This window comes from Homo sapiens, chromosome 6, assembly GCF_000001405.40.
Source record: "Homo sapiens chromosome 6, GRCh38.p14 Primary Assembly".
Classification (NCBI taxonomy): Eukaryota; Metazoa; Chordata; class Mammalia; order Primates; family Hominidae; genus Homo; species Homo sapiens.
The window spans coordinates 89,925,302-89,947,659 of record NC_000006.12 but is presented as its reverse complement, the minus strand read 5'-3'; the positions used below and the strand labels follow the sequence as shown (position 1 = coordinate 89,947,659).

The 22,358-nt window shown below is 43.7% G+C and overlaps 1 protein-coding gene across 2 annotated transcripts in view, besides 2 other annotated features; it reads left to right on the top strand.

The window, feature by feature from the left end:
• BACH2 (BACH transcriptional regulator 2) overlaps window positions 1–21,132 on the top strand; it is a 370,316-nt gene extending 349,184 nt beyond the window's left edge. For both annotated transcript variants that reach the window (NM_001170794.2, NM_021813.4), the window contains 2 exons: window positions 9,310–9,516; window positions 14,770–21,132. In NM_001170794.2, coding sequence (NP_001164265.1) covers window positions 9,310–9,516; window positions 14,770–15,252 — 690 coding nt within the window. In that variant the 3' untranslated portion in view covers window positions 15,253–21,132. The remainder of the gene's footprint in view (window positions 1–9,309; window positions 9,517–14,769) is intronic.
• Window positions 12,557–13,057: an enhancer, noted in NCBI's record as "H3K4me1 hESC enhancer chr6:90644322-90644822 (GRCh37/hg19 assembly coordinates)". NCBI's record gives its function as "activates a minimal SCP1, AML or CMV promoter by ChIP-STARR-seq in primed H9 embryonic stem cells {active_cell/tissue: H9 hESC(primed)}" and the evidence as "EXISTENCE:reporter gene assay evidence [ECO:0000049][PMID:30033119]".
• Window positions 19,556–19,850: a silencer, noted in NCBI's record as "tiled region #14578; K562 Repressive non-DNase unmatched - State 22:ReprW". NCBI's record gives its function as "represses a minimal TATA promoter and a strong SV40 promoter by Sharpr-MPRA in K562 cells {active_cell/tissue: K562}" and the evidence as "EXISTENCE:reporter gene assay evidence [ECO:0000049][PMID:27701403]".
• Window positions 21,133–22,358: the final 1,226 nt, after the last annotated feature.

The following is a 22,358-nucleotide window of genomic DNA, read 5'->3' as shown; positions in this document are numbered from 1 at the left end:
CGGGAGGCGGAGCTTGCAGTGAGCCGAGATCGCGCCGCTGCACTCCTGCCTGGGTGACAGAGCGAGACTCTGTCTCAAAAAAAAAAAAAGAAAGAAAAATCCATCTTCTGCATTCCTGAACAGTGAAAGAAGAGACATTTACCAAAGCTCTATGCCATTTTGGAAAACATAGCCCCTCTCAGTGGTACAGTTTGGACAGGACAGTTACAGTAAAGTTAAGGTTTTTCCCAATTTGACATCTTAGTTTTCCTAGAGTAGAGGAGGTTAGGTTTCCAAGAACTGTCTCAGGGACTTGCCATGACTGCTGCTCGAGGAGTTGATAACCTGCTTTAGGGAGTTACTTTGACCCTGGTTGAAGTATTATCCCCAGTAATAGTGCTCAAGGCAGATCCTTCTCCACAAGTCAAAACTTGTTTTCCTGAACTGATCCAGAAGAAGCCAGCATCTATTGGGCTAATTCTGCCCTGCCCTGCTTTCATATGGGATCCAGGTGCCTTCTCTTTCAAGTGAACCCCACGGAGACACCAGAGTCAGAAATCAAGACAGGAGTTTCCACCCCTTGCCAGACGCCAGTGTAATACTTCGCGTGTGTTTTCCCAATCTGTCTTCCTCCACCCCGTAGGGAGCCAAAACGTTAGACCAAAAGTGAAGTGTTAACATACCTTGTATTCTGTAAGATGTTGTAGTTATACCGTGTTAAGCAGCCCTTCCATCTCACAGTCGTTGGCTTCTCCCATCCTTTTTAACTGTTCCCTGGCTTCGAGAAAGATCAAATTAGCGCAGTATTATCCTTTATCAATAATCAGCTTTTTAAAATGACATTCTTTTTTAAATTCTAGAACACAGCATACCCAGCCCCAAACATACCAAATTTAACAGGCTTTCTCTTTGCCTACAACAATATACAAATATATATTCACCTCTCTATGGGTTTGGGTTTTATTTTAATGGCATTATGTTGTAGAGTTAGCAGCTTCCTTTTTTCACGTAGCTGTCTACCATGCACGTGGCTGTAGGTCGATCACACAGGGCCAAGACATGTTTCTCCAATATCTCTCGTTCTCGTAAATCGTAGTTCATTCAGCTGTCACTTATCACCAGACATTTCAGTTGTTTTCAGTTTTTCCCTCTGATAAACATTGCTGCAATAAACATTTTGTGACCCTACTGTTAGTAGTGGTGCATTTATTTTTGTGGGTTAGTTTCAAAGATGGGCTAAAGGTTGTGCCCATTTATTAAATACTACCTAATGACCTACCCAAAATGTTGTAGCAATTCACATATTCATCAGCAACTTAGAGTGTCCAATTTCCCCTATTCTTGCCCATACTAGTTGTCACCAGTCTTTTTAATTTTTGCCAATTTGATGGGCAAAAAAATGGTGACTACTAATGAGGCTGACATCTTGTTTTATGTGTATTGAACATTTATATTTCCTTTCCTGTGAATTGCTGGTTTACCTCTTTGCCTATTTTTCTTTTGTATTGTTTAACTTTAAATCAACATGTAGGAATCTTAATCCCTAATATTAGGAATATTAACCCTTTCTCATAAATGTTGCTTAGATATTCCCTTAGTCTGCTTCTTTATTTATTGTACCTTTTCCCATATAAAAAAATATTAGTTTTATGTAGTCAAGGTATAAGTCTTTTTCTTTATGACTTCTGGATTTGCTATATTCCTTAAGAAGTCAGGTTGGGAATTTTTCTCTTCCAGTAAAAAAAAATGAACAAGTCACATAAGTGAAAATCACAAAGCAGTATGCACAAGGTCCTAGTTTGTTTCCTAAATATACACACCATATAAATAAAATCAGCATAGAGAATAAGAAAAAACTGGGAGCACCGTTGGAGAGGAGTGTAGGGAAAGTTTCATTTCTATGTATGTCTGTAATGTTTGAATTTTATGTATGTCTATCTTGCACAGGTTTATTTTTTAAATTAAGACATAATTCCCATATCATAAAATCCACCCTACTAAGATGAACAATTCAGTGGTTGTTGATATATCCACAATGTTGTACAACCATCACCACTATGTAATTCTAAAACATTTTCACCACCCTAAAAGGAAATGCTGTACCTATTAGCAGTTACTCCTCATTGCCCACTCCCCTCAGCCCCAGGCAACCAGTAATCTACCTTCTATCTCTGTAGATGTACTTGTTTGGGGCATTTGTATAAATAGAATCTTGCAAGATGTGGCCTTCTGTGTCTAGCTCCTTTCACTTTAGCATAATGCTTTGAAGGTTTACCCTTGCCATTGATGTACTCACCAGGTATATTGTCATGTATTAGTACTTTGTTGCTTTTAATTCCTGAGTAATATTCCATAATGTTGATCCATTTTGTTGACTAATACCACATTTTGTTGTTCATTGGTTGAGGGCCATGTGGGTTGTTTCCACTTTGGGGCTATTATAAATAATGCTGCTGTGAGCATTTGAGTACAAGTTGTTTTTAAGACATGTTTTCAGTTATTTCCATAATATTCCTAGGAGTGGAACTGCTAAATCATATAACTTTGTATTTAACCTTTTGAGGAGCTACTAGACTGTTTCCAAAGTGGCTATACCATTTCAAATTCCCACCAGCAGTGTATCAAGGATCCAGTTTCTCTGCATCCTCGCCAACACTTGTTATTGCCCATCTTTTTTGTTAGTGCCCTCTAGTGGGTGTGAGTAGTTATGGTTTATCTCATTATGGTTTATAGGTTTGTTTTTAGATGTTGGAAATTATAGAAAATTACAGTCATTTTCCAAAGTAGTAAGCCTCTTAGTAAGACAGCTTTGTAACTGGACCATTTCTACTTAATTGTAGATTTTAGTAAAGAAGCACCACAGAGAGTTTCTTTGCACAGTCAAAAGTATGGATTTTTGGACTTGCTTTATTAACATGTTTTACACTGAGAGAGATAAAAGTGTATGAGAGTAAGAGAGTGTGTTGGGGGCAGGCAGGGGGCGGGAGAGAGAGAGAGAGAAGGGAAGAGAGAGATAAAGTCCAGAGAAAACATGGAAATGGTACAGAATAGAAGAGCCATCTGACTCTAACTCTTCCCACCCCAATGCTGACTTTGAGACACATGTTGTATGTAAAATTTTCACAATCATTTTTGTGGTTTGGTGAATCAGGCAAGTTTTTAGAAGTGTCTGTAATTGGTCTGCTTAATAAAAAGAAACCTTGCTGGGCAGCATAGAAATCAGCCATATTTCTAATTAAAACAGTGTTTTTATGTTGTCTAGAACATTGTAAGTGTCTGGAATTCCAAAGCACATGTCTGTAAGACGAAACCATGTGACAGAGATAGATAGGGCTAATAAACAGAAATAATAATACCTTGTATCTATCAGGCAGTTGAAACTTTCCCAGGCACTTTCTCCACCTGTCATCCAGTTGTATTCTTCATAGCAACCCTGTAAGCTAAGTAGGGCAGGCGTTATCGCCCTGTGACTCCTAGATCCTCCAAGAACTTTGGGACAGACAGAATGAAGACTTGCCTGAGATCACACAACTAATTAATTGACGTATCACAACTGAATCCCAGGTGTCCCATATTTGTGCTAGAAACTGGACCATGAGAAGAGGGCGTGGAAGGACAATTGCGCGAGAAACATTTCTTCACCTGGGAGGGGAGATTTTGTCATTGCCATCTGCCCAGCACTGAGCTGGCTGTCCTGGTTCCAGCAGCACTGGAATCATCTCCAATGGGCATATTGCTTCCTCCCTCGACAGCTCCCTGGGATCTGAGGGTCTCCTCAGAGTACAGGCGTTAAAGACTTCGGAGAGCTGACCACACCATCAGTGTCTCAGGGTATCATGCTAATGTGACCCTACTCCCATGGGTTTCAATCAACATCTGGTAATAAAACCAAGAAATGAAGTAGGAAAAAATATTAACAAACTAGTCTTCCACTGAGATTTCTACAGGAAATATTTGTTTCTGGCTTTTTCTGCAAAATTTGCAGCTACTTTCCTGCTTTTCCAGTAAACTTCACCCAGCAAAGCAGAGACACTAGGCAAGCGAAATGTTTGTTGGGTGAGATAGATACAGCACCACTTGATTGCAACTCCTAAAAAAGATGCAGAGAAAACAAAGATCACGGGGAAATCTACCAGAGCAAGAGAGTCATCATTTGGGGATGAGAATTTTTTTTCCCTTCTTTTGTCTTATATTTTATGAAAGCTATATTTATATAATATGTAATTTTTATATAATACTTACAGAATAATCTATAATTATATAATACTTATATAATTTTTCAATGTTTCCTTTTAACTGGGAGGAAGGGGATGATGGTTTAGGCTGAAGAATGGTCGTGGCTGTTGGCAGGGAAGAGAAATAAAGCAGCCGATTTCTGTTTGGTGAGAAGGAAGCACCGGCATTCCAGGGCCCAGCCTACAGCCTCCCCTCTGCCTCGTTGGTGCAGACAGCATGCAAGGAGACATATGTAGGTTCCATGCACTGTCCAGATGTCACACCTGGACCTAAGAATCCCTGGACACACTGCAGGGACTATCCATTTTACTGACTGCTCAGGAGCTGGAGCCTAGCCAGGCGTGGTGGCTCACTCCTATAATCCCAACAGTTTGGGAGGCCAAGGAAGGAAGATAGCTTGAGGCCAGGAGTTTGAGACCAGCCTAGGCAACAGAGCGAGACCCTGTCTTTAAAAGAAAAAAAATGTGTAAAGCTGGAATCTCCAGAAGAACTAACCCTCCTATAGCCGTGCTTAGCAGGACAGGGCAGGTACCGTGCTAAAAACCCACCTCGGTCCTGCTGCTCCTGTCGTGTTCCAGAGGGGGAAGAGTCAACACTTTGCTGGGCTGAATAAAATCAACAGCAGCTTATTGTGCCAACTGTGGCACAGGCCTCTGGTGCCCTGTTTGGCCCTTGGCCTGCTGACTCAGTGGCTGCCCTGATTCTCCGATTCTCCACTGAGAACCAAAGTGGTAGACCCCTGGCTAAAGAGTGGCGCCCATGAATCCCTCGTGCCCTTCCCCTTATATGCAGCCTGTGTGTCCGGAGCTGTGTGTGGGTGGCTGAGTATAACTAGTGGGGATGGCGACAGTCCACAGGACTCTTCACCTCATCACATTGGCTGTTGGGACTCTTTAGGAAACCAAGCCACTGCTGGGAAGTGAGATCCTGGAGGAGCAAGTGTGTGGAGGGACAGTTAATAAGATGTTAAGCCCAACTGGGCCTGTTTGGCTCAGAATAATTATCTAGAAGGAAAAGAGGTGGGCCTCAACCTTCTTGATGTGTTTCCGCTTTCCAAGGTCTGTTGGCCTTCTCTGACTCCTCAGCCCCATTTGAGGAATGTTTTGAGTGCCGAGAGCCTGGGAGAGGCATGTCCTCCACGGGACCAAACAGTCAGTGGCTACTCCTTATTTCCAGACAAGATGTTCTTGGCTTGGAACTTATTACTCAAGAAACAACTTGGATGTGGTCAAGTTCCCACCCACCCCGACCCGGTGCCTGTCTGAGAACACCTCAGAGACCCCCGCATGTCAGTGAACATAAGTCCTCCCTTGCTAGAGGGGGAACCAAGACTTGTAAAGAGAAACAAGAGTGAGTTGGGGTTTTTTTCACCTGGGAGAAAGTCTATAGTTGACCCATTACCTTTTCCTCTGACCCTCTTTAAAAAGCAGATTGTGTTGCAGCAGCTCTGCTGAAGTGTTGTATGGCTTTTTGTCTCAAGGACTTTGAAACTAGCATTGGTGATTTTTTTCTTTTTCTTGGCAACTCTCCCTCCTATTCCCCTAGTGTTTTATATTCACTGTCTGGATGATTTAAATACAGTAGCTCTTGGTATAGACATCCTTTTGACTTTCCCTGTGGCCTGAACTATAGGGATATCTTCTTTCTGAGAGTAAGTAAACACATTTAGAGCAGAAGCAGAATGGCTTTGTTGTCATCAGAGGGAAAACTCCACAAGCCCCCAAAGCGCCACCACCTCTGCTGTGTTGGAACATCCACATCTCCAACAGACAGACCTCTGTGTTCCGGAGACACCGTGCAGGATCTGAGTGTGTTTGTTATCCAACGGGTATAAGAGGGAAATCAAACATTCTTTCATATCATTAGAAGCCCTGTGCAAACACAGCCCCGTGCACAAAGGCCTTTCCCGAGCCCATAACAAGGAACTGTTTGTCCTGGCTGCCTGTCTTTAGCAGTCGGAGCAGGGCCAAGCCGACAGTGGTGTCATGGGCCCTACTGCGATTTTGCTTTCTTGGACCAAAATTTTACAGGTGTCATGGGACAGAGCTCACCAGGTAGAAGTTGAATCAGATCACCTGCTGGGAACCTTCAGTAAATGCCACACTGCACAAGCTCGGAGCTGTGATGGAACCTGACAAAGAGCTTGCACCCAACCACAGAAAAGTCAAATGATCATTTTGTACATTTGCCTTTGTGCACGGGAATTGACTAGCCACACATGCCGGCAGCCGGGACTCGTGTCTGCCTGCAAATGATGTAACCAAAGAGAAACCTGGGCTCAGGATCAAATGTCTTCATCCTCACTCCCTTGAAGAACACAGACTTAACCCTGCAGCATCTGAACACTATCGAGGGGTTGGTTTCTTCACCCAAGAGCATTTTGATCAGTTCAGCCCAGACCCATATGTTTTTCTGGCTGCTGGGATTCATTGAGTCCATTTATTCTGTCTCCTAGAGTGGCACTGTCCAGTCCATTTGCCTCATGCTGCACGTGGCTGTTGAGCCCCTGAAAGTGGCTAGTCTGAATTATGATGTGCTGTAAGGATAAAATGTGCTTTGGATTTGGAAAGTTTAGCACAAAAAAAAAAAAAACTGTAAACTATCTCATTAATAATTATATTAGCTATATGTTGGAAGTATTTTTATCTATTGGGTTAAATAACATACAGTATTCAAACTCATTTCACCTGTTTCTTTTTACTTCTTTTAATGTAGCTGCTGGAAAATTTAAAATCACAAATGTAGCTCGTATTGTTTGTATTAGACAGGGCTGGGCTAGTGCTTGAAGGAAGTTTAGGTTTGTAGTGCCATCTGCTGGCTCATCCGGAGCAGACGTGAATGTAAACAAGAATGAAGCAATCTGAGCTAACCCACACGTTGTCTCTTAGCCTGGCAGCACACAACCTTTTTATTCCAGGAGCTTCTGAAGCAGGACCAGACTGAACCCAGAAGCTGCTGAATCCCCAAGAGCCTCGGGAAGGGGAGTGACAAACTGCTCAAAGGTGCAAGCCTGTGTCACCTCATGGGTGCCAAGGAGGCTCTTGAGATAGAGTAGTGGTTTGCTGCTCACCTTCCGCACTTGGGGCTCTTTCATGCAGTCTTTTTCACTGGTTGCTATTCTTAAGAAATATTTCAGGCCAGGCACCATGGTTCACCCCTGTAAGCCCAGCATTTTGGGAGGCCAAGGCGGGCGGATCACTTGAGACCAGGAGTTCAAGACCAGCCTGGCCAACATGGCAAAACCGCATCTCTACTGAAAATACAAAAATTAGCTGGGCATGGTGGTGCACACCTGCAATCCCAGCTACTCAGGAGGTGAGGCAGGAGAATCGCTTGAACCAGGGAGGTGGAGTTTGCCGTGAGTCAAAATCGTGCCACTCTACTCCAGCCTGGGTGACAGACCGAGACTCCATCTCAAAAGAAAAAAGAAAAGAAATATTTCAGGCCAGGAATAGTGGCTCCCACCTGTAATACCAACACTTTGGGAGGCTGAGTAGGGAGAATCACTTGAGCCCAGGAGTTTGAAACCAGCCTGGGCAACATTGTGAGACTTCATCTCTTTTTTTCCCCTTCTCTGTGGCGCAAGACCTCATCTCTACAAAAAAAAAAAAAAAAAAAAAATTTAATTAACTGGGCAGGGTTGTCCCAGCTACTTGGGAGGCCAAGGCAAGAGGATTGCTTGAGCCCAGGAGGTTAAGGCTACAGTGAGCTGTGATCATAACACTCCACTCCAGCCTGAGTAACAGAGCAAGACCCTGTCTCAAAAAAAAAAAAAAAAAAAAAAAAAAGAAATATAAGCAATCATTTAACAACATAGTAAGGATACAAACCCATCCTTCAGGAGACTGCTGTCCTCGCTTTAGATAATGCTTATTTGCCTTGATTTGTCAAGAATTGGAATTTGTCAAGATTTGGAATTTTGCTGGCAAGTACCTGCATCCAATGTCTATTGTTGCATAATAAATCACCCCAAAACTTAATGACCTAAAACAATAGTAATCACTTAACACCTCTTACAGTTTCTATGAGAAATGTGAATGTGAGTCAGGAATTCAGGAGTTGCCCATCTGAGCAGTTTGGGCTGAAGATCTCTCATAAGGTGAAGTCAGATGTTGGCTGGGGCTACACTCAACTGAAGGTTTGACTGGGGCTAGAGAATCTTTCCAGGGTGGCTTGTTCACATGACTGGCAAGGTGATGCTGGTTGTTGACTAGAGGCATCAGCCCCTCTCCACATGGGCCTCTCCACAGAGCTGCTTGAATGTCCTCGAGGCATGGCAGCTAATTTTCGACCTAGCCTCAGAAACTATACACCATTACTACTGCTGCATTCTGTTGGTCAAAAGGCAGGAAAAATGCATCTCACCTTTTGATAAAGGAATGTCAACATTTCATTGTAAAATTGGAAAATAAATTCCCAAAGTGCCCAACACTTGTATAGCACTGTACGGCTTTTTTAAAATGCCCTATTTTTCAGATGAGGAAATTGAATCTCAGAGAGGTGGAGTAGCTAGCCTGAGGTCTCATGTCTGGTGAGAAGGATGAAAGCCCGGTTCTTTTGACTCCTACTATATGCTAGTGAAGCCTATCCAAGTTATCTCCTCCTATCTCCCATATGCTATTGTAACTAAGAATCACACTGGGTTTTTTGTGTCTCCAGCATTTTCAGGATACATGGGGCTCTCTTCATTCAGGGGCTTTAGATATGTCCTTATGTGGTATCTCCCTATAACTTGTCATTTTATTGAGTTAGGCTGTAGGTCTTATGGAAGTACATTTCAACTAACTAGAATCTTTCTTACAAAAGTGCTACATCAATGAAAAATGACACATTTTCCAATATTGTTCATGTCATTTGCTTCAAAAATCTCAGAGACAATAACATTGCAATATATGTGTTCTTATTCTGTTTGATTATCCAGGTATTATTACATCTTATCTGTCTTTAAACAGGAAATAAGTAATCACTGCTTGCTTTCAGTAGTTTCCATATTACTTGGTCATCATAAAAAGGAGGTTTTATCATTTTTGATGTTCCGCCTGCCAGAATTAAAATCCAGCTGCCATAATCATTTTCTGTTATTCTTGGTTTCAGGTAAAACTTCCTTTTCCTGTAGATCAAATCACAGATCTTCCAAGGAACGATTTCCAGATGATGATTAAAATGCACAAGCTAACCTCAGAACAGTTAGAGTTTATTCATGATGTCCGACGGCGCAGCAAGAACCGCATCGCGGCCCAGCGCTGCCGCAAAAGGAAACTGGACTGTATTCAGAATTTAGAATGTGAAATCCGCAAATTGGTGAGTTGACCCATCCATTGTGATCAGCAACCTGAAGTGACCAGGACTAATGTAAAGTAACAGCAATGAAAGTTGGAAAAGTAGACAGAAGGGTCACCCTTTGCGGAAGTTTGGGTTTATTTTTTAAGAAGTTTCTCAACAGAAATAATAGCTTTACATCTGTGCGTGTGTGTGTGTGTGTTTGTGTGTCTGCACGCGCATGCATGCGCGCAGGTGTGTAATAGTGTGTCAATATTTTATATCCTTCAGTCATTATTCATATAGAGGTAGTTATTTTTTATTTTCCATCCAACATGTGAAAATAACTGATGTTGGCCAGATGTGGTGGCTCACGCCTGTAATCCTAGCACTTTGAAAGGCCAAGGCGGGTGGATCACTTGAGGTCAGGAGTTTGAAACCAGCCTGACCAACATGGAGAAACCCTGTCTCTACTAAAGATACAAAAAATTAGCCGGGCATGGCAGCACGTGCCTGTAGTCCCAGCTATTCGGGAGGCTGAGGCAGGATAATCACTTGAGCAGGGGAAGTGAAGGTTGCAGTGAGTGGAGATCACGCCACTGCATTCCAGCCTGGGTGATAGAGTGAAACCCTGTCTCAAAAAAAAATGAATAAATAACTGATGTTGATTATGAGCATCTATGGTCCAGGTATTCTTCTAAACTGTTTTTATGGATGATCCCATTTAATCCTCACATGAACGCTATGACTCAGGCACTCCTTTATCCCCATTTACAGAGGAGGGAACTGCAGAAGGGCTGGAAAACTTCCCAGTACTTGGTAGAACTTGAATGCAAACCCAGGTGTCTGATTCCAAATCGTGTCTTGTACCACTGCTTTCTCCTGCCTCCTGGCAGAAGAGAATGGAATAGAGATAGGACGCCTACCTGCAGAGGGGCCATTGCTCAGGAGATGATCTCCTGACATTCTTTGCAGGCCCAGGGTCCTTTCTTTTGCAGTTCTGCCTCAAGGTGGCTGTCATCGCCATCCCTGTGCCTGAGAGTGTTTTGTCACAGAAAACAAACTCCCGTCTCCCAGGCTCCCCCATACTCAGAGCTATGTGCCCCCGCCCCTTCTCCTTGATAAGCAACCATAAACTACAGAAAGTAAATCCAGGTGACCTCTGGCTCCTGACTGTAGCTTTGAAGACAACCAACTCAACCTCCTTCAGCTCCACCTTTCTGCCACCAAATAACAGAAACTCATCTCAGGTGCCATGTCTGTGTCAGGCTGAAGAAGAGGGAGGCCACATGGTATGGTCATGATCTAAGTGTGGCTCCTCAGACTGTTTGCAGCACCTCCTGGCCTCATGGTGAGCCACCAGCTAATGAGAACGAAAGCACAAGGATGAAATGTTAGAAAAGCACAGGATGTTATATGTTATCAAGATAGCCCTGGACGTCAGGGTTTTTTGTTATTGTTGTTGTTGTTGTTTTGTGGGTTTCTTTGACACTCACCACCAGGGAAAATGTCTGTGTTTAGCAGCTCCCATCACCAACAAAGAAAGTCCAAGCTTCTTAGTAGGATATCTCCTGCCATTTGTGTTCCAGTCTGTAGCTACCTCTCCAGTGTCACCATCCACTCCCTTCCTAGGACTTGATCCCTGATAAAATCAAACTCTGCACTTGTGCCTATGCCACTTCCTCTCTGCCTTGGACATTCCTCCACTTTTTCTATCTCCTTTGTTCTTTAAGAGTCAGGTCATGGCTGGGCACCATGGCTCACACCTGTAATCGCAGTACTTTGGGAGGCTGAGGCAGGAGGATCACTTGAGGCCACAAGTTTGAGACTAGCCTGGGCAATATAGCAAGACCCCATCTCTAAATGAATGAATGAGTCAGGTTATGCATCACCTCTCTAGGAAGCCCCTTTCCTGAGTCCCCAGTTAGGCTGGGCACCTGCCTGTGGAAGCCTGATCTGACCTCTGGCTTAGTGCTTATCACTTACTCTTGAGTTATCTATACATTTGTCTGTCTCCCCAGCCCTCAACTGTCAGTTCCTCAAGGACAAGGACAGTGACTTGATCATCTCTGAATATCCAGTGTTGGACCCATTGCTGGCGCCCAGAAAATGTCTATTGCCCTAAAATTCGCTGGACATTGTGACTATTCAGTTCAGGGGATTATGAGTTTCTTCTTTCTTTCAAATATTGCTTTAACATGTTTAATGTCGTTAAACAACAAAATTTAATTTAAATCACATAAGGAGACGACATTCCTGCTGGTGAGTGTGGGTCTTCTGAAAGCCTGCTGGGCTTAGGTAGTTAAGTCCACTGGGTGTGAGTCTACAGGGGCCTAGGCACATGTCTATAGTGCCCTGCACTCCTCTTAAGGTAGTAAAATAACTTCAGTCACCCACATTTGAGAAATGCCTGGTTTTGGTAATTTGCATTCTGCTTAGTGTAATTTTGTGATACTGAACAAATAAATTCCAAGCCACAGACCAGGCAGATATCTAAAGCGCTTTGCTAGCATTTTTCAACCAAAAAACCAAATTAGAGCATCATCTAGTTCTCCAACCACTTTTTGGCATCCCCTTAAATAACACGTTGTGTTTCAGTGCCGAATAAGAACACATTCATCAGTGTACGTCTGTGACTGAGAGCTTCATGGTTTTAACCAAGGCATGATTTGCAATGCCTTCCCCTGCTGCTGTCACACGCGGCACCTCATTTTCTTCCCCCTAGAAAGTGGCCTGGAACATTTAACAGATGAGTAGGCCTGGAGGGGTCCGTGCTTTGGCCGGGGTAATGTGGCAGAATGATCCTGGGGTTCCTCTCCCAGCGCCCAAGCAGTATTGCCCCTCACATTGCAGATTTCTGTACTAAAAGGGGAGAGCTCCAGGTTGCACAGCCACCCATATAAGTTTTTTCCCTAAGGAGACATCCCAGATGTGTTTTGTTTCTTATCTGCCACCCTGTGGTGAGGATGCTATGTCCTGACAGGGATGGCGCTGGTGGGCGGAGCAGCTTCCACCTCTCCCCAAGTCCCTCCCTGCCCTGCCCGGTCCCCAGCAGGCCCTGCACTCACTCCCCACTCCCACGCCGTCTCCCACACACCCGCCACTCAGCTGTTGCAAACTCGCATAATGTATTTCTCTCAAGTTGCACTTGTACATCTGTTTATTTTTCATTTTTAAAACATATTTTCTTGATAAATTTATAAATATTTTAGGAGGTGCCCTTTCCCGGTGTAAATCTCTCTTTCCGACACACATGCCCACGCCGCCTGCCAGATTGCATTCATGTTACGGCACATGCAGCTCCCGTGTCGGAGACCTGTTCCTTGTGCGTGTCGCATGCCTGCTCCTCCCTTTCTCCTCTTCATTTTCTCTCCCGTCCTCTTCTCCTGCCTGCGCTTGCAAAGGGTTGGTGAGAACTGACTTCATGCTGCTTCAGATGCCCCTTTTCTTCATCCACTTCATTGTGTGTGCCTCATGGAACCCCATCTCCTCCCCTCACCCTCACGCAATTTTTTTTTCTTTTTTTTGAGACAAAGTCTCGCTCTGTCGCCCAGACTGGAGTGCAGTGGTGCAATCTCGGCTCACTGCAACCTCCACCTCCCGGATTCAAGCAATTCTCATGTCCCAGCCGCCTAAGTAGCTGGGATTATAAGCACGCACCAACACACCCAGCTAATTTTTTGTATTTTTAGTAAAGACAGGGTTTCACCATGTTGGCCAGGCTGGTCTCGAACTCCTGACCTCAAGTGATCTGCCCATCTCAGCCGCAAAGTGCTGGGATTACAGGCATGACCCACCATGCCCAGCCCCCTTCTCACAAATGTTGATGGTAAAACCTTAATTAGTCTCCAGTCTGCTGCTGAAGTCACCTCTCTATTGGGATGGTGAATTTCAGTAACACAGGAGCATGTGTAGGATTTTGTTTAAGGAGAAGAACATCTCAGAACCTTGGGCTAGTACTCAAGGGTTCAGGCTCCATCCTTACTTCTCCCTTCCCAAGTCGGGGAGAATCGCTGCTCCAGACTGCACTTTTCCCAGCTGTCCTAGGGAGGGTCCCTCCTGTTCAGTCTGCTCTGCTACCAAGGCCAGAGAGCCTGCTGATACTGGGTTCTATATGAAACTCCGTATGTTAGGCAACGACAGGAAATTGTTGATGACTTTTTTTTTGTCTTTTTTTTTAATAAACTTTTTTTTGGTGCGGGGAGACAGGGTCTCACTGTATCACCCAGGGTGAGTGCTGTGGCACCATCTCGCTCACTGCAGCTTCCACCACCCGGGCACAAGTGATCCTCCCACCTCAGCCTCCCAAGAAGCTGAAACTACAGGCGTGTGCCACCACACCTGGCTAATTTTTGTATTTTTTGTAGAGAAGGGGTTTTGCCATGTTCCCCAAGCTGGTCTCAAACTCCTGAGCTCAAGCGATCCGCACAACTTGGCCTTCCATAGTGTTGGGATTATAGGTGGGAGCCACTGCACCCAGCCTGACTTACTTTTTTAGGAGCAGTTTTAGGTTCACAGCAAAACTGAACACACTATACAGAGAGTTTCCATATGGTCCTGTTCCCACACACACAGCCTCCCCCACTGTCAGCATCCCCCACAAAGTGGTACATGTGTTAGTCAATGAACCTACACTGACACATCATTATCACCCAAGTCCATAGTTTGCATTAGAGTTCACTCTCGGTGTTGCACGTTCTATGGTTTTGGACAAATGTATAATGACATGGATCCACCAGTATAGTGTCATACAGAGTGGCTTCACTGCCCCCAAATCCTCTGTGCTCCACCTGTTCAACCCCTTTTACCCCTAACAACCACAGATCTTTTTACTGCTTCCATAGTTTTGCTTTTTTCGAAATGTCATACGGTTGGAATGGTAGATTTTTGCCTTTCAAAAATGGCAACCTGATACATTTGGGGGAGATTTTCAGTCACAAGATTGGGACTGAGAGTTTTTCATTTAACTCTCTACAAACCCCAAATTCCAGGAAACCAAAACATGGACTCTGAAGTTTTCTGATTCGTGACGATTTTGCCGGTTGTTTGCCCGGGCCTTGGAGAGGGATGAAGAGATGTCCTGGGGAAGGTGTTGGCATCAGATGGAAGGTGTGGCAGAAGCCTGTGTCTGGGCCCCCTGAATATGTATCTTTAAGTTTCTAGAGCCTGACCTAGTCATTCTTGAGTTACATTATAATGGAGGATGCAAAACAAAGGCTGGAAAACCTGAAACGAGGCCTTCTGTCCTCCAGTTCAGGCTTGATCAACCCTTCTCTTTTTTTCTCTACTGTCCAGGTGTGTGAGAAAGAGAAACTGTTGTCAGAGAGGAATCAACTGAAAGCATGCATGGGGGAACTGTTGGACAACTTCTCCTGCCTTTCCCAGGAAGTTTGCCGAGACATCCAGAGCCCCGAGCAGATCCAGGCCCTGCATCGGTATTGCCCTGTCCTCAGACCCATGGACTTGCCCACGGCCTCCAGTATTAACCCTGCGCCCTTGGGTGCTGAGCAGAACATTGCGGCCTCCCAATGCGCAGTGGGGGAAAACGTGCCCTGCTGCTTGGAGCCAGGCGCGGCTCCCCCCGGACCCCCCTGGGCACCCAGCAACACCTCCGAGAATTGTACCTCTGGGAGGAGACTAGAAGGCACTGACCCGGGAACCTTCTCAGAGAGAGGACCTCCTCTTGAACCCAGGAGCCAAACAGTGACCGTGGACTTCTGCCAGGAAATGACTGATAAGTGTACAACTGACGAACAGCCCAGGAAAGATTATACCTAGTGACTCGGCTCTGCCTCCCAGTCCGCACACCTCTCCCATCCAGGCGTTCTTCAGTCAGCCTGTGGCACTGTTCATCTGCTGTCCCGAAGAAACCGAGAACACATTTGGTGCACACTACAGCGGTCTTAGCAGCAATACTGTTCCGAAGTATCCTCTCCTCTTCTCGAGCAGGAGTGATAGTTACCTTCACAATGGTGCTACCCCTTGCCCAGGCAAGGAAAGACAGCAGTGATGACACTGTCTGTCTGTGGCTCAATTTCAGTCTTCACAGGGATAGACTACAACACCTCTAGGCCCCAACCACGGATTTTTTTTCTCAGTGGCCCATGTCACAAACCCTATCTCAGGAATTTCTTCTGAATGTTCAATTTTTTTCATTGAAGACAGCTTCTATACACATCAAAGTTTTATAGCTAGACTGTACATATTATATATAATATATATATAAAATATATATATATATATATATATATCCATATGCAAAAGTCCTGCATGCCTCAACTTTCTCATCCTAAAACTGGAAACTTATTTCTCATTTAGAAACAGGTTCCAACATTCCTCTTCTTTTGTCTCTGATGCTAGAACTAGTTTGGTAACTGTTAACATGGTCATTTTTCTTGCTTCACAGTTCAATTTTCAATTCGTACTTATTTATGGACAAAATTCAGTGTTGGAAGCTTTTTCCCAAGGTTTTATTTCAGATTTCTTTTTCGTTTGGTTTGGTTTTGGCACCTCCAAGTGGTGTCATTTGAGCATTGTAGGTTTGTTTTTTGTTTGTTTGGGGGGTTTTGTTTGTTTTTGTTTTTGTTTTTGTTTTCCTTGCAGATACTGTACAGTAATGGTCAACTTTGCCACTTGCACTGAGTTTTGGGTCAAACCTATTTTCTTAAATGAAGTTGTAACTTCGGTATAACTCAAGTATACTGTATATTCTTTGCTTTTAGTTAAAAAAGTAAAACATTTTAGCTAATTAAAAAGCACTCAGGTGATAATTATGTAGGAAAAACAATCTTGCCAAATAATGAATTCATCCTAGGATGTGTAGACAATAATCTGCTTGAATATTTTTATATTTCACCTCCTCCCCACCTTTCCCTAAGCAAAGTTTAAACGCAGATAGAGAGTTCAGAGTTGATGCTGGATGTTCAGATTCCTAAGTGGGGAGAGAGTTTGGACATCTCACTCAAAAGTACATCAGAAAAACAGGAATCCGTGATTTTATACCAGAACTCAGCAGGCATTGGCTCCTAGAAATCAAGTTAGAAAGTTTTCACCCAGGGAGTAAGTCCCATTCATTTCAACACGTCCTGAGGCCTCGGCTTGCTCTTGGAAGTGTTGTGCAGTAGGACCTGCTCCCCTGAAGGACGGGGCCAACCAGCCACTGGCTTTCCTGCCCAGGCTTGGCCTCCCAGGACATCTGGCCTGAGGGGATTTGAATCACAGCCCCGAAGGTCCTGCCTTCACCCCATTGGGAGAGAGCAGGGCATCCTGGCATCTGCGATCCATCCCTGACACAGGCTGACACATTCTTTCTCCTTTCCTTCTCCAAAGGCTTGGAGTTTTCTTCTGAGGTTTTTCTGCCAGTGTCTTGTCTGAAGGCAGACTTCATTCTGAGGCTTTGGACAAGCTATCACCGGGAACCCTCCCTGTCCCCTTCCCGAATCACACACATACCCTACCCTCACCTGATGATAATTTTCTCTTCTTGCTGCAAAACTGGTTGGCTTGCAACCCAGAGAGAGCAGCTTCCCTTGGCTCTGGGGCCGTGTTGGCCCCAGCCACGTTTACAGGAAGGTGTGCCCCAGAGGAGGAGGAATCAGCTCCCTCGCTCCAGTGGCCTTGGGTCCGGGTCTCACTGAGCAGCCCGAGGGCCACTCCAGCCCGGCTGGGGAAGAGAGTCCTGAACGGTTTGATGTGGGGATGGGGTGGTGGGCAGTGGGGAATAGATGGTTGACTTTGTTTCTTTATTTGTGCCATTGTTTGGACAATATTAAAGCTGCATGTAAAAGGGGAAATTAGTATATGATGTAGGCTAAAAGTGAAATCATAGTAACATATGTTTTAGTATTATTAACTTTTTTCTGTACAAATATTAGCACTAAATGTTTAAATATGTATGAATGCCAGAAATTTGTCAGTTCATGCAGTAGGATAAAAAAAAAAAAAAAAAAAAAAAAAAGGCTTTTCTTTTTAAACAGTTCCACTTTTAAAACCTGCCTCTGGGTTTTTGTTTTTTCTTGTTTGTGTGTGTGTGTGTGTGTGTGTGTGTGTGTGTGTGTGTGTGTGTGTGTGTCTGAAACAGATCTTGATAAAGCTCTGTGTTGGAGCTGCTGGTTTTTGTTATGGTTGTTGGAATTTCTTGGCCTACTAGGACAGTTCTGTGCTTCACCATGAGGTTTGCCTTTGTGGAAAACTGGTGACAGTGAGAATATAAACTCAATGTGAATCACGTGATACTTCGCAGGCGTGTGTTACAGTGGAGTCAGCTGACAGTATTTTGCTTTTTAACTCTATTGTTGCCTTTCCAAGTGACCTCTCCTCTTCTTTTAAAAAAAGAACACTTTCTGCTCATATCATAACCAGGTCCAACCCAGCTTCTTGGCATGAGGTTTACCCTGGTAACAACTCATGTGCAACTGGTAGTCTTGACCACATTCCATCCATTTCCTCAGGTTTCTGTGGTTCAGTAGCCCAGACCTGTTTGGCAGCCATTTCTAGCAGGGGCGGGGCCTCTTTATTTCTCTCCACCCTAACTCAGACCTCACCTTCCTCCCACCCACCCCTGCCTTGCTTTTCTTCCTCTTCCCCCAACCTAACTTCTGCCATGGGAACTGGTTAAAAACACTGCTCTAAAAACCATCTTCCAATTTCATAGAGATTTCTCACAAGTTATTTCATTCATAATCCACCATGAACAGTGACTAGCTTCGTGCAGTTGTTCATGTGATGTGTGTGTGTCTTTTCCTATTCAGAACTATGTGCTTGTCAAAATTATTTCTGGGTTGATTCAAAGGGAGGACTTGCTGGGGACCAGAATCCAAACGGCCTCAAGTGGAATTTTAAAACCTAGCCTGTCTCTTTTCCCTGGGATCCCTCTGTCAACCCCACGCCTTTTAGGAAAAAGAAAAGTGAGTGAACAGCAAGGAAGAGTGTTTGCACAGTACAGTAACATTTGGTTGTTCTTAAGGCTCTTTTCTTACAAAAATAAGAGACCCTCCAACCACGGGCTGTTTAGGAGGATGCCTGCTTGGGTCTCCAAATGGCTGGGGTAGGAATGGTTGTTGGGGCAGAGCCAGTGGAGGTGAGTGACCCTGAGACTAATGAACATCCCACCTAAATCCAGTCCTCCCCTTGGATCTGCCTTTGTCCTGCTTGTGTATCCAGGCAACCTCTTTTCAAGTTGGTCAGGCTTTGGACAGGTGAGTGATTTGCTGTATGTGTTTGTTTCTCTGCGTTACCTGGGGGTGCCTTGATTAAAATCGAACTTTATTACATACTGATTCTGGAACAAAACAGTTAGAAAAACTTTAAAAAAAAAAAAACCGACAAAGTTACGAGGCCATCCTGCTATTTATCTTCTGAGTTCCCAGCAATGACTCAGGCATCAGAGATGATGCTGCAGTGGAAAACCTGACTCTGTGTGTCTGCAACTGAATGTTGTGCGAGTAATTTATTAACTGTCTTTCTAAAGGTTTGCTGCTTTTAAGATGCACTATAATTCGGGATGTAATCCTTACATTGCTTTTCCAAGGAAGGGAACAAAAGTCTAGTGATTAGTATGCCAACTGCCACTACTCCTTCAAAAGGAGCCAGGACCAGCGACAAGACTCATGAGAGGACTGGCTAAAGTGAAGTGTGCACAGTGTGAAGTTTAATGCTGTTGTCAAGAGGCCTAAACCCACATTTTCTCTTTTAATATTTTATGATTGCCATCAAAGAAGAAGAAAAAGAAGGAACAGACAAAGGTTTGAAAATGATAAGCCTGTTAAGACACCAAAAACTCCTGTCCCGTGAAGCTGCTTGACATCCTGTGGAGTAGCATAATCCTCTCAAAATGAGGAAGAGCTGCCTGCAAAGCTTTCTCAAGTCCCTATTTGGCTACCTACTTCTCTACATTATGCCCCATTTAAACTAGGAGCTGTCTTAGAAATGACTTCAAACTGCTTCACTATTGCTTACAGTTTAGGAGGAGTCTCAGATCCAGAAGGAGCAAGAATCAAGTTTGGTCCTCAAATGACTGTAAATAGACTAAAGAACAAGGTGTTTTTTGTTTTTGTTTTTGTTTTCTAAGAATAAAGCTGTTCGTTGTATCATGAGTTAGTGTTTCTTCCCCAAACTGAAGACTGTGTTGGAAGTGCAATTTCTGGTGAGTCAGTCCACAATACAATGCCCTGTGTGGAGTTGGTATTCATACAGGAAATCTGTGTGCACGAGGCATTGTGTGTTGAAAGTGTATGTTTATAGTACTGCCTGAGCCATCTCATGACCCCAGCGTCCAAAACCGATGCTGTAGAACAGAACATATCTGTACACAAATAGTGTGTGCAAATAGCATTTGTACATAGAAAAGTCTCATTGTGGCAGATTGAGCATAAATTATTCAACTGACGGTGCAAAAACATTACTTGCAAAGAAAAGTTTATAGTATTTTCCTACACTCCACCCTGGGAGATGATATTTCTATCAAATGAATATCAGTGCATTTTAAATGTAATATGAAAACGATGCTGCCATTTTGTGAAGAATACCCACTTGGTTGCAGAGGCCAACTTTCATAGCTTTGATTTAATGTTGTGACACGGTGTATGCATTTTGCTGTCAAGCAATGGATAAACAGCTCTGACTTTCATTCTCATTCCAGTTTATTGACCTCAGATAAAACACTGGCCCTTCTTAGAAGCAGAAGTGTGCACCAAGACCATTCATTTCAGGTAGACTCACATTCAGTGCCAAGTGCTCCCATGGGAATAATCAGACGCATATGTTGCGAAAGAGTGAAGGGACTTGGACAAAGAGGGGTTTTCCTACAGATGGATGCTCAGTCTTCTACCAAAACATGTTTGGAGGCAGAACTATGACCTCCCCTTAAGTCCTAACAATGTATTTTGTGTGTGCAAATCCTGGGATGCCCGTTTCACGCTCTGACATAAAGACATGGCACCTCTAGTGAGTGATCAGGAAGATTCCATATGCATTTGGGAGCTTCAGGTGCTTGTTAGACACAGTGAGCCATTCAAGGCAAGCACCACCTTTGCTAGTGAGGCCAAGAGAGCCTGTGACAATTTGACAATTTGTTCCAGAACCAGTCTGATGCAAGTGCACCTCTAATATATGCCTTACAAACTCCAGAGGCCATATTCAAAACAGGGTCTTCTCAGTGTATGCAAGGGGCTGCAGCCCCTCTTCTCTTCCTCCCCAGGTTGAACAATACGGACAGTTTTCACACATATCTACCTGTATAACCCTCTGTACCTCTCATAACTGGTCAACGACTGTAACAGGTTACATCAGGTGTTTTTCTACATACTTTTTACACAGATTCTATGCGATTAATGTAATTTAATTCAATGCATCATTTTATTGTACTAGTTCTTAGGCTTGTCCTTATTTTTTTCTAAGTGATTGTGGTTTTTCTCGTGGTTTTTATTGTAAAAAATGAAAGGCTGTTGATGCTTATTCTCTGTAACTAAGAATTTTTACCTTTTGGGGGAAAAAAGCATTGCTATGAACTAATGAATTGAAACTTCATTTACTCATTGTAAATACACTATTGTGCAAAAAAAGTTTTCACTCAATTGAATTGCTAGTGTTAACTGAATTTTGTCTAGACACCATTTCTGTTGATGAAATAAAGACATATCATTATGCATTGTAAACTGATTTTCTCTGCCTCTGATCCCTATGTTCCAAATTACAGAGTGAGAAACCTCAGGAAATCTTTTTTCCTAGAGGCCATTTCTCTTCCTCTAGTTTGGACCCTTACTTGCTACCTGATTAATCTGATTAGGAATCTTTAAAATTGGATAATATTAATGTGATTCCTAAACTCTGAATTTTAAAAATCCCTAGTGCCTGTGAGAGTAGATAAAAGGCTTTAAACCCAATTTCTCGGTTTTGATATTGTGCTATCGCTATGCAGAATGTTACCACGGGAGAAAACTGGGTGATGGGTATCATTTCTTGCAACTGCATGTGAATCTGCAATTATATCCAAAATAGGCTGAATTTTTTAAAAACTAAATGAAAGTAAATGAGAAAGAACATTAAGCCAACACCAAGATGCAGTGAGTTGCAAGGAAAGATGTTTAGAATTGTGGTTGAGGAATCCATACAGTCATGCATTGGTTAGTGAAGGGGGTACGTTGTGAGAAATGCATCCTTACGCAATTTCCTATTGTGAGAACATCAGGGTGTGCCACACCAACCTAGATGAGAAAGCCTATGACACACCTAGACTAGATGTTCCTAGATTGCAAACTTGTGCAGCATGTAACTGTACTGGATATGGTAGGCAATTGTAACACCAGGGTAAGTAGTTGTGTATCTTAACATAGAAAAGTTGCAGTAAAAATAGGGTTTACAATCTTATGGAACCGCTGTCATATATTCGTCCCATCATTGACCAAAACATGGTTATGCCATGCATGACTGTACAGTTTAAAAGTTGTATTCTAAAAGTGTATTTGATAGTTATGTCTTCGATTTTGATGTAAAGAGAAAACAAGATATCAAATGGTGGGCAGGTCGAGTGACCATGAGCGAACACTGGACTGGAGCTCGGAGGTGAGAGAAAGCCACTAGAGCAGAGCAGGGGGGTCTGAGCTGTCAGCGAGGCTGTAACCAGTGCATGCGCATGGTATCCGGGCAGGGCAGGGCTGTGCTGCCGAGATTCACGCTTCAAGGAGTGCATGCGACCGCCAGATGGGAAAACGGAAATTAAAAACTGCCAAGTTCTGCTCCCTCGGGCGAGTCTCCATGGGCACCTATGGAGTCAAGGAAGGCTTCCTGAGAGCAGGTCATGGGTTTTGCAAATGTGTGCTGCTGTGACAACGTCGCAGTCATAACATTTTCGGTACAAGAGGCGGATTACCTACGCCTGAAGATGT